Genomic DNA, 16,179 nt, shown 5'->3' on the forward strand with positions numbered 1-16,179 from the left:
AGCCTCCAAAGTACCTGGGACTACAAGTGCACACCACCATGCCCAGTTAATTTTTTTTTTTTGTATTTTTTGTAGCGACAGGGTTTTGCCATGTTGCCCAGGGTGGTCTCAAACTCCTGGGCTCAAGCAATCCTCCCACCTCAGCCTCTCAAAGTGTTGGGATTACAGGCAGAAGCCACCACACCCAGCCACAAGAAGATTAATACAGACCTATACCTCTCACACTGTGCACAAAAAATAACTCGAAATGGATCATAGACTTACATATAAGAGCTAAACCTATAAACTTCTGAAGAAAACATAATAGAAAATAGACTTTGGTAAAATAATTCTTAGTTATAACACCAAAAGCATATGGTATTTAAAAAAAGATAAATAGGATTTCATTGAACTTAAAATAAATTTTTTTCCCTTCAAAATACATTAAGCCCTGGCAAGGGTGGCTTGCACCTGTAATCCCAGTTACTTGAGAGGCTGAGGTGGGAGGATGGCTTGAGGCCAAGAGTTCCAGGCCAGCCTGGGCTACATATAGAGATCCCATCTCTAAAAGAATTAAAACAAAATTAGCTGGGAGTGGTGGTGTGCACCTGTAGTCTCAGCTACTTGAGAAGCTAATATGGGAGGATTGCTTGAGCCTAGGAGTTTGAGGTTATGGTGGGCTATGATCAGTGCCACTACACTCCAGGCTGGGCAACAGAGTGAGACCTTGTTTCTGGGGGAAAAAGAAAAGACATCATTATGAAAAATGAAAAGACAAGTCATAAAGTCATAGACAGGAAGACAATATTTGCAAATCATGCTTCTGTTAAAGAACCTAAATCTAGAATATATAAAGAACTCTTACAAGTTGATATAAGAAGATTGTCCAGTTAAAAAATACATAAAATATTTGAGTAGGCACTTCACTAAAGAAGATATAAGAATGGCTAACAAACCAAAGATGCTCAATAGCACTAGCCATTAGGGAAACCACAATGAACCACTTCACTCCCACTGTTTTAAATTATTATAATAATTTTTTTTTTTTTTTTGGCCAGGTGCAGTGGCTCATGCCTGTAATCCCAGCACTTTGGGAGGCCGAGGCAGGCAGATCACAAGGTCAGGAATTTGAGACCAGCCTGACCAACATGGTGAAACCCAGTCTCTACTAAAAATACAAAAATTAGCCGGGCGTGGTGGCACGTGCCTGTAATCCCAGCTATTCAGGAGGCTGAGGCAGGAGAATCGCTTGAACTCAGGAGGCAGAGGTTGCAGTAAGCCAAGATTGTGCCACTGCACTCCAGCCTGGGTGACAGAGAGAGACTCCATCTAAAAAAAAAAAAAATTATTATTTTTTTAGAGACAAGGTTTCACTGTATTGCCCTGGCTGGTCTCAAACTTCTGGGCTCAAGCAATCCTCCAGCCTTGGCCTCCCAAAGTGCTAGGATTACAGGTGTGAGCCACCATGCCTAGCAATCCCTACTGTTATGAGTGAAATCAGAAAGATAGACAAGTATCAGTGAGGATATTGGGAAACTGGAAGGCTTACATATTGCTTACACTTTGGAAAACAGTTTGGCAGTATCTTAAAATGTTAAACATAAACTTATCATACAACTCTGTAATTCCACTTCTAGGGATCTACTCAAGAAAAATAAAAAACGAATGTCCATACAAAGATTTGTACACAAATGTTCATAGCAGTCTTATTTATAATAGCCCCAGATTGAAAACAACATAAATGTCCTTCAACTGGCGAATGGATAAACAAAATGTAGTACATTCATTCAAATGGAGTCTATTTGGCAATAAAAAGAAATAACTACTGACTGGTACAACGTAGATGAACCTAAAAAATATTCTGAGTGAAAGAACCCAGATGCAAAAGACTACTTATTGTATGAAACCATTTATATGAAATTGTCAGAAAGCAGATAGCAGATTGCCTAGGGCTTGGAAGGAGGGTTGACTGCAAATGCGCATAATGAATTTTTTGGGGGTGATGGAAATGTTTTAAACGTGGATTGTGGTGATGATTGCACAATTCTAGTCACTGCTTATTGTAGACATTTAGGAACTGAAAGCGACAGACATTCTATCTCAACCCAAGCTTCCATGATTACCATAGCATGGGGGAGGGAGATGTGTCTCTGCTTCTTAAAGATTCTCCTGAGAAGTGATACATGTCACCCATTTTATTGGTCAAAGCAATTAACTTCAGGGGTGCAAGAAAGTGCAAATTTTTTTTTCTTTTTTCTTCGAGACAGAGTCTCCCTCTGTCGCCTAGGCTGGAGTGCAGCGGTGCAATCTTGGCTCACTGCAATCTCGGCCTCCTGGGTTCAAGTGATTCTCTGCCTCAGCCTCCCAAATAGCTGGGATTACAGGCATGCACCACCACGCCCGGCTAATTTTTGTATTTTTAGTAGAGACAGAGTTTTGCCATGTTGGCCACGCTAGTCTGGAATTCCTGGCCTAAAGTGATCTGCCCCCCTCAGCCTCCCAAAGTGCTGGGATTACAGGCGTGGCCACCGCGCCCGGCCAGAGTGCAATTTTACTATGTGTCTGGAAGAGAGGGGAACCAGAATACTTATGAACCACCCTAAGGATGATCACAGAAATACATACAACAATAAAGGGTACAGTTTACTCTGATCAGAGTTCACTCTATATTTCCGAGGAACCACAACTACAGCAGGTTTTTTTTTTTTTTTTTTTTTTTTTTGAGGCAGTCTCACTGTGGCTCAAGTAAGCCTACCACCTCAGCCTCCTGAATAGCTGGGACTACAGGCAGGGGCCCAGCTAATTTTTAAATTTTTTGTAGAGACAGGGTCTCACTATGTGGCTCAGACTGCATACTGGTCTGGAACTCCCCAGCTCAAGTGATCCTTCTACCTTGGCCTTTCAAAGTACTGGGATTACAGGAGTGAGTTGCTGGTGGCTGGCTGACAGGTATTCTTTATACTTGACTGTGACTCCCTGAGTGTCCTTAAATCTCTGAACACTTGGTTTGCTTACACCTTTGTACTCACACGTTTGCACAGAAAAATAACACTTTTTTTTGATAGAGGCATAATTTACTTCTCTAATGTATAAGGGATTAGAATACTTTTGTGTAGCCAAAGAGCCTAAATTATTAGAGTTTCTGAGGTGGAAATGAATGCGTCTGAAGTATTGAATCACTGAAGATTTTGAAGTTGAGGCTTGGTGACCACTTTACAGAAATGTTGAGGAAAACTTAGACCAAACGTTCTCCAAAACAGATGTTCTCTGATTAGGCTTAGCTGCACAGCAAATATATCTGTTTGTGCAATATCTTTATTAATTTTTGTACTGCATCTACTTTTTAATATTTTATTTATTTATTTACCTTAATGCCACGTTCCTGAATGGGAATGCATCTACTTTTTTTTTTTTTTTTTTGAGATGGAGTTTTTGCTCTTGTTGCCTAGGCTGGAGTGCAATGGCACGATCTTGGCTCACCACAACCTCTGCCTCCTGGGTTCAAGCGATTCTCCTGTCTCAGCCTCCCGAGTAGCTGGGATTACAGGCATGTGCCACCACACCTGGCTAATTTTTGTATTTTTAGTAGAGACGGGGTTTCTCCAAGTTGATCAGGTTGGTCTCGAATTCCCGACCTCAGGTGATCTGCCTGTCTCGGCCTCCCAAAGTGCTGGAATTACAGGTGTGAGCCACCGCGCCCGGCTGCATCTGCTTTTTTTAAGTCAAAATTTTCCTCAGCCAACGTATGAAGGTCACTTAAGACGAATTTATGAGAGACGATGATGAGAATTGAAATAAAGTGAAACCTGAAAGGTAGTAGGTAAGTAGATACAGTGAGGGTACAGTAAGAAGACAGACTTAAAAGATTAGGACTATTATTCAGGAGAAGCAGAGGAGTGGAAGGGTATGACCACAATATTTAAAGTATTGAATGGTATTGGATAAAACGAATATGCTTATTTGCCAAATTCTGAGATCACAGGCTGAGGGAACCCCTTTTGAAGTATGAGCCAAATGAGCTTAGACCACAAAAGGTACTTTTTCAGAGACAGAAAAAATATGGTGTTCACTATCCCTGTGGCATAATATGGGACAAAAATATAAAATGGCTTTAAAAATATTTTGACGAAATTATAAATAAAGATTCCACACGTGGCTACTAAGAGGAGCTGGGTTGTATCTAGGTGTAAGTTAAAGAGACAAGCATACAATCTCACAGCTTGTCAGTTGGGACCCCTGTAGGCAGCAGAATCTGGGCAGGCTAAGGGTCTGCACTAATAAACAATTCTGTTTTCTTAAACCATTTTGCAGGGGACTATTCTCAGATTTCATTACAACTAGGAAGGACTGCAAAGCGGGTAAACAGAAAACAACCTTTCATCGTTAGGAAAAAAATCGTCTGAAAGTCTTTCATAAAAGCAGCTCCTGATAAGGAGTTTGGGACTGGACAGTGAATCGCTGAATAAAATTTAATCTCGACATCCTGGGTCTTCTCCCCTCTGAAGGAAATTCTAACAGCAGGCCTTAGGATGAAAGTAGAGGAAACGTGCTTCAGTTAAGGTTTTCTCCAGGGAAAAGAAATCGGCCCAGCAAGATGCACAGAGCACCGTTACGACCACGCACACCGAAGGTCGCACACGACCCTTTTCCTGTATAACAGTGCCAGCCTGCCGACGATCAGGAGCGCAGCTTTCACTATTGTGTTAGCCCCGGCGGCGGAAGGACTGAGCCTCACTGCAACGTTAAAGAGTCCTTCTTTGTTCAGCCCCAGTCGGGGACGCAGGGCGCGGTGTTCCTCCGCGCTCGCCGCGCAGTCCCTGCCCCCCCGCGGCTTTGGAGAGCTGCCATTCGGCACCGGAGTCGCTCCGCGCTCCCAGAATGCACCGGCAGTCCGCGGGAAACCAAAATGGCGAGGGGCTGTATTGAAGTGGGCTGTGTTTGAGGCCGGTGTAAGAACGCTCATTCTACCCCCAACCCTTGTCTCCAAGGACCTCGGTTTGTGCGTGCATATGTGCCGGGTACCCGGTGGGGCGGGTGCCCAGTAAGTGCTCGGACTCGCAGGGGAAGCGCCCACGGGGACGGATTGGTTGTTTTTTCCTGTATGAAGCGGTTGGCACCACTGAAGTGACCGAATGAGGTGAGAGACCTTGGCCTGGGAACCGACTCTTCCGGAGGAGATGGGGGTTGGGGGAAGGAGGAAGAAAGGAAGCAAGTATAAAAGGGAAAGATGGAGGACCAAGGTGGGGGTGGGGGCTCCTGTATGTGGGTGCCTTTGCATTTATGTGTATATTGAAAAGAATGGATGAAGAGGAGTAGTCAGTTGAGTGTTGGGAGAAAATAGGGACTAAAGGAGCGAGGAGGTCGTTGGGGGAGTCTGTTGGAGGAACAAGATGAAACGTTGAGACGGGGAAGCTGTGTTTGGAGGGCAGGAAGGAACCTGGGGGCGGGAGACGGTTGGAGGGGCAGGATGAACCTGGTGACGAGGGGGTGGGGAGCCGAGAGGAGGAGCCGTTGGGAAATGGGGGCTGAGGGAAATGTGGGGAGCAGAGTGGAGGGCTGCCTGGGACCTTAGCAGTGCGCAAAGGGAAGTAGCAGCTTGGAATCGGAGGGTGGAATTGTATGGAATTGGAGTAAAGGGGGTCGAGTGTAAGTGCTGGTAAGGATAAGGGGAACACACTGAAGTGGAGGTTGGAAGCACAACCTGAAAGCTTAAAGGGAAGCGGTGGGAGGGAAAGTGAGATGGGGGAAAGCTAGGTAGCTTATATTTGGAGCTCACCAAAAATATGAGGCTTTTCTTGTGTTTAATTAAACCTAACTCATATAATCTACGTCTAGGATGTAGATTTGTATTGTATTCATTTTTACAACTGAGGTAATTACGGCTCAAGGAATTTTAACCAATTTGCCAAGATTTCTTAACATATTTCGGTAGTGCCAGAACTCTAACTCTGTGTTTTACAATCTGGTGTCCTTGGTTGCTAGAATTTTTCTTTGGAAGCAATTAGAGGGAACAGATGGATTTATCGGGGTAATCTGACTAACAGCAAGGGTTTGTGAACAATGGGAAAAGGCTTATGGAATGTTACTCTATTCTTTAAAACATTTAACTTTGGTTAAAGATAGAAACCATGTAACACTAACTTAAATGTGAAAACCTAGCTAGGCCTGTGTGTAATACATAGGAAGGCACCATGTGAGGTCAGTACAGAGCTAGAAATATGTAAATAGTACCTGATTTAATTTGACTTCAGAACCTCCGGTAGTAATAGTAGTTACTTTCTCCTTCAGATGGATTCCATGTGACCCTCCTGTATACCTAGCCTACAAGCTGGTTTCAATTTCCATGGTTTCATTCTCTCTTGGGAATTCCTTTTTTTTTTTTTTTTGTCAGTAAATTTCAAAGATAGTTGTATGTAGAAGTAGTTAATGTGGATAAAATGTAATTAAATTCACAATAACCTTTTTAAGATTTGAAAATGCTTTAAAGGGAGTTGTTTTGACTGATGGCTTTAAGTGCCCTATAGTTTAGTTATAACTTGAGAGGGAATACAAAATGACTTGTTTTTTCAGATTCCTAAATATAAAAATGTATTTGAATTCACATTTTAAAATTAGTTCACCTGCAGTTTTTTAAAGTGCTAAAAATGTTCTAAATATTTGAATTAAGAACACACCTGCTTCCTGATACTACATTTATAATGTTAGTGGGTATTAACGGAAATGTGTAACTATCAGGATGAAATGCATACACAGTTTTAGAACTAGTTGTACAGAAATCATCTTGTTAAGCCTTTTTTCTAGATGACACAATTATATTTAATAGTTCTTTAAATCATCCCCGTTGCCTCAAAGCTCTGTTAGGAAAGACATTCTGTGTATTTTACTGTGGGTCATTAACTCTTTGATTTCATGGATTATAAATATTCCTTTTTGTGGGATCTTTGAAGGATAATTTGCTTTAATCATTTTTCAGCATAATCTTTACATCTGACTTGAGGAAACTGACAGTATATTGTTAATCTATATTTTAACAGAGAAATTTGCCTCTGAGGAGTTGCCATGACCAACATCTGTAGCTTGATGGTTCTGAAAGTAAAACTTAACTGCTGTTTTAGTTAGTCGACACTTCCATGAACGATCTTTGATGGTTAATATTTTTGTACTTTGTTTTCCCTGTTCTTCAGGAAAATTTGTTTATTGCTGTGAAATCCAGTATAACCATCCTAAATTGGAATGTAAAAGTTTCCCTGTGGATATTTCTTATATGTTAGAGTAGTGCTATCTAGTAGAAATTTCTCCAGTGATGGCAGTGTTCTATATCTGCTGTATCCAGTACAGTAGCCACTAGCTGCATGTGGGTATTGAACTCTAGAAATGTAACTAGTGAGACTAAGAAGTGAATTTATAATTTAATTCATTAAAACTAAAATTTAAATGGCCATATGTAGCAGTGCTACTGTATTGGACAGCACAGTAGTAGGGGTTATTGCATCCATGTATTGAGGAATTGTTACATTCATTAACCATGGAAACCACAGGAATCCAAGGATGAGGAAATGCCTGAGAACTGAGGAAGTTCAGATTCTTTTTGTACATTTAAGATGAAGTATTCATTTTTACCACATACCATGTCTTCTGTCATATTTCTGTTTTCATATAACATTGCAATAGAATAATGAAAGATAGTGACCTCTCTAGTCTTTTTAAAATATAAGATTCTGCTTCTGTGTCAAAAAACAACAAAAAATGGATATTAGGAACGTTTTGTTGTTTAAAAAAATTACTTTGTTTTTACACTTTGGTAGAAAAAACTTAAGGAATATTTCAAACATAATACAAAGTGAGCAGAATAGAATAGTGAGCTTTTATGTAACCATTCTTTTTTTTTTTTTTTTCTGTAAAAAGAGACAAGGTCTTGCTCTGTCACCCAGGCTGGAGTGAAGTGGTGCTATCATAACTTGCTGCTGCCTCAGACTCTTGGGCGGAAGTGATCCTCCTGCCTTAGCCTGCCGAGTAGTTAGGACTACAGGTGCACACCACCACACCTGGCTAATTTTTAAATTTTTAATTTTTTTTGTGGAGACGGGATCTTACTGTGTTGCCCAGGCTGGTCATGAACTTTTGGCCTCAAGCAGTCCTCCTGCTGTGGCCTCCTAAAGTGTTGGGATTGAGCCACTGTGCCCAGCCCATTGTTTTTATTATTTTTTAAAGGTTTATTTTTAGGTGAAGTTTACATATATTGAAATGCACAAATCTTAACTGTACAGTTGTTAATAAGTTTTATTGAGATATAATTTATATACTATAGTTATATGTACATAATTCACATGCATTCTTTGAAGGTGTACAGTTCAGTGATTTTTTTTAGTATACTCACAAAGTTGTGCAGCCATCACCATACCTAATTTCAGAATATTTTCATCATCCCAAAAAGAAAAGAAAATCTTAATCCATTAACAGTCAGTCCCCTTCACCTATCCACTATCCTCTGGCAACCACTAATCTACCTTCTGTGTCTATAAATTTGCCTGTTCTGGACATTTCATGTAAATGGAGTAGTACAATATGTGGCCTTTTATGTCTGGCTTCCTTCACTTAGCATGACTATATTAGTCCATTCTTGTACTGCTATGAAGAAATAACTGAGACTGGGTAATTTATAAAGAAAATAATTTTGATCGGCTTACGGTTCCACAGGCCATACAGGAAGCATGGCTGGGGAGGCCTCAGGAAACTTCCTGTTGAAGTGGCCCCCTTGAAGTGGCCACAGCAGGAGGATTAGAGATGGGGGCGGCTCCACATGCTTTTAAACAACCAGAGAACTCAGTATCATGAGAACAGCAGGGGGGAAAATCTGCCTGCATGATCTAGTCATTTCCCACCAGGGGCCTCCTCCAATGTTGGGGGTTACAATTTGACGGAATATTTGGGCGGGCACACAAAATCCAAACTATATCGTTAATGTTTTCATGGAACAGCCATGTTGTAGCATTTATAGTCACTTCATATCTTTTTAGGGTCAAATAATATTTCATTATATGAATATACCTTTTTTTGTTTGTCTAGTCATCAGTTGATGGACATTTGGGTTGTTCCCACATTTTGACTATTGTAAGTAATGCTGCAGTGATCATTCATGTATAGGGTTTGGGTGAACATGTTTTCATTTCTCTTGGGTACACATATCTAGGAGTGAAATTACTGGGTCAGATGATAACTCGGATTAGTGTTTTGAGGAACTGCCAAACTGTTTTTCAAAGAGGCTGTGCCATTCTACAAGCTCACTAGCGATTATCTGGTGAGTGATTATCTCACCAGTTTATCCACATCCTCACTGATACTTATTATTGTCTATCTTTTGATTATAACCATCCTAGGGTTTGAATTGGTATTTCATTGTGGTTTTGATTTGCATTTCACTTATGGCTAATTATATTGAGGATCTTTCCACATACTTGTTGGCCATTTGTATACCTTCTTTGGAGAACTGTCTATTTAAGTCTTTTGCTCATTTAAAAAATGGGACTGTCTTTTTATTCTTGGATACAAGCCTGTTATCAGATATGATTTGCAGACTTTTCTTCCCCCATCCTGTGCATTATCTTTTCACTTTCCTGATGGTGTCCTTTTAAGCACAAATATTCTTAATTTTGATAAAGTTCAATTTATTCCTTTTTTTTTTGCTTATGCTTTTGATGCCGTATCTAAAGAGCTTTATAGTTTTAGCTTTTACATTTAGGTCCGTCATCTATTTTGAGTCAATTTTTTATATATGGTGTGAGGTAGGGGTCCAACTTCAGTGTTTTGCATGTGGATACCAGTTTTCTAGTACCATTTGTTAAAAAAAACTAATTCTTTCCTCATTGACTTGTGTTTGACAATCTTGTCAAAAATAAATTAACCATACATGTAAAAGTTTGTTCTTGGATCCCAGTTTTATTCCATTGATTTATGTGTCTGTACTTAGGACTGTACCATAATATTTTAATTACCATTACTTCATAGTAAGTTTTGAAATTGGGACGTTGTGAGTCCTCAAGTTTTTTTCTTTTTAAAAAACAATTTGGCTATTCTGGGTTCCTTTCACTTTTCCATGTAAATTTTAGGATCAATCTGTGAGTCTGTGCAAAAAAACGCAGCTGGGATTTTGGTAGGTATTGTATTGAATCTATAGATTGATTTGGGAAGACTTGCCATTTTAATATTATTAACATCTATGAACATGGGATGCCTTTCCAGTTATATAGATCTTATTTAATTTCTTTCTCTGATATTATGTAGTTTTCATTGTACAATTCTCGAACTTCTTCTGTTAAATTTATTCCTGAGCCAGGCACGGTGGTCCCAGCTACTCAGGAGGCTGAGGCAGGAGGATTGGGTAGGAGGATTGCTTGAGCTTAGGAGTTTGAGACTTCAGTGAACTATGAGAGCTATGATGTGCCACTGCACTCCAGCCTGGGTGACAGAGCAAGGCCCTGTCTTTAAAAATGTAAGTATTAAAAGAAATACTTTGAACATATAGAAACAAAGTAAACCATTTTCCTTGATAAGATAAAGCATCACTTTCTCCTATCCTCATTTAATTTAAAGTTCTTATCAGTACTTGAGCCCCTCTGTTGATTCTCAGTTCTGAGGATTTTTTGATAGTAGTTAAAGAATTCTCCCATAATCAGGGAGATAGAAGGGTAGTTTGTGAAGTGCTTATCTAGTACTAAAAATACTTTTAAAATTTCAAAGCATTGTCATTATAGTATAGTTATGGATCCTAATTACATTACCTTTTTTCTTTTCTTTCTTTCTTTTTTTTTTTTTGAAACGGAGTCCAGGCTGGAGTGCAGTGGCACCATCTCGGCTCAGTGCAAGCTCCGCCTCCCAGGTTCATGTCATTCTCCTGCCTCAGCCTCATGAATAGCTGGGACTACAGATGCCCACCACCATGCCCGGCTAATTTTTTTGTATTTTTTAGTAGAGACGGGGTTTCACCATGTTGGCCAGGATGGTCTCGATCTCCTGACCTCATGATGCGCCCTTCGTGGCTTCCCAAAGTGCTGGGATTACAGGCGTGAGCCACTGCACCCGGCCTTTTTTTTTTTTTTTTTTTCTTCATTAAAAGAGACAGGGTCTCTCTGTTGCCCAGGCTGGAGTGCAGTGGCGTGATCATAGCTCACTGTACCCTCAAACTCCCGGGCTCAAGTGATCCTTCCACCTCAGCCTCCTGAGTAGCTAGGACTACAAGTGCATGCCACCACACCTGGCTAATTTTTAAAATATTCTGTAGAAACGGGGTCTTGGTATGTTGCCCATGCTATTCTTGAACTCCTGGCCTCAAACAATCCTCCTGCCTTGGCCTCCTTAGGTGCTGGGATTACAGGCATGCCACTTGGGCCCAGCCAGGGCCAACTTTTAGCATCCATAGGTTCTATGGGTCACACTGCAGAACTTGAGTATCTGTGGATTTTGGTATCCTCAGGAGGTTCTGTGACCAGTGCCTTGTGGATACCAAGGGACAACTAAATAGCATATACATAAACCAGTAACACAGTCGTTTGTTATCAGTATTATGTATTGTACATAATGAGTATATGTGCAAGACTTTATGCTACTGGCAGTGCAGTAGGTTTGTTTTATACCAACATCACTGCAAACACATTGTAAAGCATTGCATTACAGTGGTTACAAAGTCACTGGGTAATATGAATTTTTCAGCTCCATTATAATCTTATGGGACCACTGCTGTATATGTAATCTGTCGTTGACCAAAGTTTTACTGTGTAGCACATGACTATGCTTAGAAGGAAGGATCAACTATGTAAATAATGAAGGAGGAGGCCGGGTGCATTGGCTCACGCCTGTAATCCTAGCACTTTGAGAGGCTGAGGCGGGCGGATCGCTTGAGGCCAGGAGTTTGAGACCAGCTGGGCCAACATAGTGAAACCCTGTCTCTACTAAAAATACAAAAAATTTAGCCAGGTGTGGTGGCACATGTCTGTAATCTCAGCTACTCAGGAGGCTGAGGTTCACTTGAACCCAGGAGGCGGGGGCTGCAGTGAGCTGAGATTGCACCACTGCACTCCATCCTGGGTGACAGAGCGAGACTGTCTCAAAAAAAAAAAAAAAAAAAAGATGAGGAAGAAGGGCAATTTTGGTAGTAGGTACAATATGTATGAATGCCTTGGGTGGAAAAGATCTTGGTTTGTGAATAATTGATAGGCAGCCCCGGGTGAATCTTGAGATGCAAAGACATATTCCTGTGGGAGAAGAAAACTAATATATCATATTTGACTTGTAGCTTTTTCAGCCTAGTAATTATGTTAGTTTCCCAGTTTTGTTGGTGTTTGAAGAACTATTTATAAAGTCCTTTTGTATTTATCTATGTGATAAATACAGAGCTTTGAAAATGTATACTACAGGCAGCTGTCTTTGAACTTTTTCTTGTTGTTTCAAAATTGGGCAGACAGCTACAGGTTGAATATCCCTTATTTGAAATGCTTGGGACCAGAAGGGTTTTAGGATTTTAGGCTTATTTGCATATACAAATGAGATGTCTTGGGGATGAGACCCAAGTTTAAACACAAAATTCATTTATGTTTCATACACACGTTGTATGCTTAGTCTAAAGCTTATTTTTTCGTTCGGGACACTGAATAAACTGTGTTGTGCCACCTGCGTTTTGACTACAACCTGTTACGAGGTCAGATGTGGAATTTTTCATGTGTGGTTGATGCTTAGAAAGTTTCAGATTTTGAAGCATTTCAGATTTTGGACTTTCAGGTTAGGGATGCTCAACTTGTATTAGTATCTGAGGACACTTAACAACCAAGTTGAACCATCTGTAGGAATGCATCATTTCATCACTGATAGATGACTTCAGTTAGACTTATAAAAAAGGCCTTAAGGCTGGGTGTGGTGGCTCACGCCTGTAATCCCAGCACTTTGGGAGGCCGAGGTGGGTGGATCACCTGAGGTCGGGAGTTCAAAACCAGCGTGACCAACACGGTAAAACCCCATCTCTACTAAAAATGCAAAAATTAGCCAGGCGTGGTGGCACGCACCTGTAATCCCAGCTACTCAGGAGGCTGAGGCAGGAGAATTGCTTGAACCCAGGAGGCAGAGGTTGCAGTGAGCGGAGATGGTACCATTGCATGGCAGCCTGGGCAACAGAGTGAGACTCTGTCTCAAAAAAAAAAAAAAGCCTTAATGGCAAAATATACTGTGGACAAGAGGCTGGATACTGTCGATACTGGCAGTGAATGGCCTGATTTCATTCACCAGTTGCTAAATCTGAAAATATTCTTGGCCTTCCCCACTGTATGTGACCTCGGTTCATAATTGGGATCCAAAGGTGACAAATATCTAGAATAACTTTGTCTCAGAAATAGTATCACTTAACTGGGGTTTACCATAGTAGAGCCAGGTATTACCTATCTTTCTTTACAACTTTAAGGAAGTAATTTTACTTCTGAGTTCCAGATTTTTCACTTGTTAAACAGTAGTCTTCCCTTCCTATTCTATGGCATTATTAGGAGGAGAAAATGAGATATGAATGCTTTTGAGAAAGTTAAGCAGTATAGCAAGATGAAGATATTTTCAAGCCCTTATCATCCATATGCTCTACTACCTACCAAAGATCCAGTTCATACTTTTGTTTATAGTAATTGGAACTTTTAAAACTCTAGGGTATAGTTAGTGGCTTGCAGCAAGAGCCCCTCAGTTCTCTTATTTTTTTCTCGTTGGTCTTAGGACCAGAGTCTGCAGGATTATAATGACAACGCTGAACTTTCCAGTTCATCCTTGCCTGAATTGTTAGTGGAGGCTCATTTTATGTAGTGTAATCAACTTTATAAATTCTGGACTTGAACATGAATGTATGTACCTGTACTTAATTCACATTTATCTGTGGTTTTAATGTATATTAGTGGCCTTGTTGGTTTTGGTGTTTTAAGTCTGTAGTTAACCTTTCTTTATTATTCATTGTATATGTGAGATAATATAATCAAGGATTCCTTTTGCACAAATAATTTAGATGGCTATGGGTATTGTGATGTAAAGATTTTACCAGTTGTCATATTGGCTTTTAAAAAAATCAGATATATTTTTGAAATCTATTACTGTTTCTAAATGTTTGGTATTTACCATTTTGAAAATACTTGATATATTATATTTAACAGTGTCATTTACAATTTTTTTTTGAGACAGAATCTCACTTTCTTGCCCAGGCGGGAATGCAGTGGTGCGATCTCGGCTCACTGCAACCTCTGCCTCCTGGGTTCAAGCAATTCTCATGCTTCAGCCACCCAAGTAGCTGGGATTACAGCTGTGTGCCAACGTGCCTGGCTAATTTTTGTGTTTTTTGGTAGAGATGGTGTTTCACCACGTTGGCCAGGCTGGTATGGAACTCCTGACCTCAAGTGATCTGCCTGCCTCAGCCTACCAGAGTGGAGTGCTGGGATTACAGGCATGAACCACCATGCCCAACCTCATTTACAATTTTTAAAAAAATCTTAAGATCTGTATTTTTTATAGTTTATAAAAGTTTTTTTGTGATCACAAAAATACATGCTTTTGGTAGAAACACAAACATACAAAGATGTTCTATAAAACTGACTTTTTATCGTACATTTTAAGATATTTAAAAATATTTTCTGTAATTTCATGAAGAGTACTAAAGCCACAGTCACTGACATTGTAAACACCTCTGTTCATTCTCTAACCTGTTAGGTGGTTAAGCTATTTTTAATTCTAGGGGGCTCAGGCTGAACTTGAGGTTGGGGAGGAGAATTTGCCTCTGCTTTTAGTTGCAATTTTCAAGTGAGGTGAAATTAAGTAAAATTTGTAAGAGCTTTTTTGGCTTTTTAATTCTAGATAAATACATAAATAAATTTGGGTCTCTGTAATAGAATATGTGCTTTTATAGGATAGTGATATTTGCTTGATAAATGGAGGATTTACTTACTAGTGTGTGTATTGATAAATACAGACTTTGATTAGTTTATTCAAGAGAGATTTTTAAGTCCCTACTTTATGCCATACCTTGAAAAGTTTTAGAGTTCCAGTGATGAGCAAAATGTTTACTTTCAATTGTAATTCAAAATGCAAATTCCACTTGTTTACATGGAGTTATTAGATTGTAAATTTCTAGAAAATTGTTTGATTCTGCCTTTAAAAAAAAAGAAAGATGGAGCCTCTCAAGAGTGCAGTGGTACAATCACAGCTCTCGTACTTCACTGTATCACGGTAGCGTTTGAACTCCTGGGCCCAGGATATCTTCACACTTCAGCCTCCCAGGTAGTTGGGACTACATGCTCTCACCGCTATGCCTGGCTTAATATTTTCATTGTTTTAGAGATTGTGTCTGTGTATGGGGATCTCGTTATGTTGCCCAGGCTGGTCTTGAACTCCCAGCCTCAAGGGATGTTCCTGTCTCAGCCTCCCCAGTATTAATAGCTTGATTTTCCTTTTTTTTTTTTTGAGACAGAGTCTCACTCTGTCACCGAGGCTGGAGTGCAGTGGCGCAATCTTTGCTCACTGCAACCTCAGCTTCCAGAGTAGCTGGGATCTCAGGTGTGCACCACCACACCTGGCTAATTTTTTTTCTTTTTTGAGATGGAGTCTCGCTCTGTCCCCCGGGCTGGAGCGCGGTAGCACGATCTCGGCTCACTGCAAGCTCCGCCTCCCGAGTTCACGTCATTCTCCTGCCTCAGCCTCCTGAGTAGCTGGGACTACAGGCACCCGCCATCACGCCCGGCTAATTTTTTGTATTTTTAGTAGAGACGGGGTTTCACCGTGTTAGACAGGATGGTCTCCATCTCCTGACCTCGTGATCCACCCGCCTCAGCCTCCCAAAGTGCTGGGATTACAGGTGTGAGCCACCATGCCTGGCCAATTTTTGTATTTTTAGTAGAGATGGGGATTTCTCCATGCTGGCCAGGCGGGTCTTGAATTCCTGACCTCAGGTGATCTGCCTGCCTTGACCTCCCAAAGTGTTGGGATTACAGGCGTGAGCCACTGCGCCTGGCCAATTTTTGTATTTTTAGTAGAGATGGGGGTTTCTCCATGCTGGCCAGGAGGGTCTCGAATTCCTGACCTCAGGTGATCTGCCTGCCTTGGCCTCCCAAAGTGCTGGGATTACAGGCATGAGCCACTGTGCCTGACTGACTGTACTTTTAATATATCTTTTACACAGAAGATTCAGGTTTAATC

The 16,179-nt window shown here is 40.6% G+C and overlaps 1 protein-coding gene across 4 annotated transcripts in view, besides 3 other annotated features; it reads left to right on the forward strand.

Annotated features, from left to right (window-relative positions):
• Positions 4,431–4,680: an enhancer, noted in NCBI's record as "active region_1326". NCBI's record gives its function as "activates an Ori minimal core promoter by ATAC-STARR-seq in GM12878 lymphoblastoid cells {active_cell/tissue: GM12878}" and the evidence as "EXISTENCE:reporter gene assay evidence [ECO:0000049][PMID:35858748]".
• Positions 4,431–4,911: a biological region, named in NCBI's record as "Sharpr-MPRA regulatory region 13810".
• Positions 4,617–4,911: an enhancer, noted in NCBI's record as "tiled region #13810; HepG2 Activating DNase unmatched - State 1:Tss, and K562 Activating DNase unmatched - State 1:Tss". NCBI's record gives its function as "activates a minimal TATA promoter and a strong SV40 promoter by Sharpr-MPRA in HepG2 and K562 cells {active_cell/tissue: HepG2 | K562}" and the evidence as "EXISTENCE:reporter gene assay evidence [ECO:0000049][PMID:27701403]".
• Positions 4,868–16,179, forward strand: part of MTF2 (metal response element binding transcription factor 2) — a 59,794-nt gene continuing 48,482 nt past the window's right edge. For all 4 annotated transcript variants that reach the window (NM_007358.4, NM_001164392.2, NM_001164391.2 and 1 more), the window contains exon 1: positions 4,868–5,116. In NM_007358.4, the coding sequence (NP_031384.1) occupies positions 5,112–5,116 (5 nt within the window). In that variant the 5' untranslated portion in view covers positions 4,868–5,111. The remainder of the gene's footprint in view (positions 5,117–16,179) is intronic.

Source organism: Homo sapiens, chromosome 1, assembly GCF_000001405.40.
Source record: "Homo sapiens chromosome 1, GRCh38.p14 Primary Assembly".
NCBI lineage: Eukaryota > Metazoa > Chordata > Mammalia > Primates > Hominidae > Homo > Homo sapiens.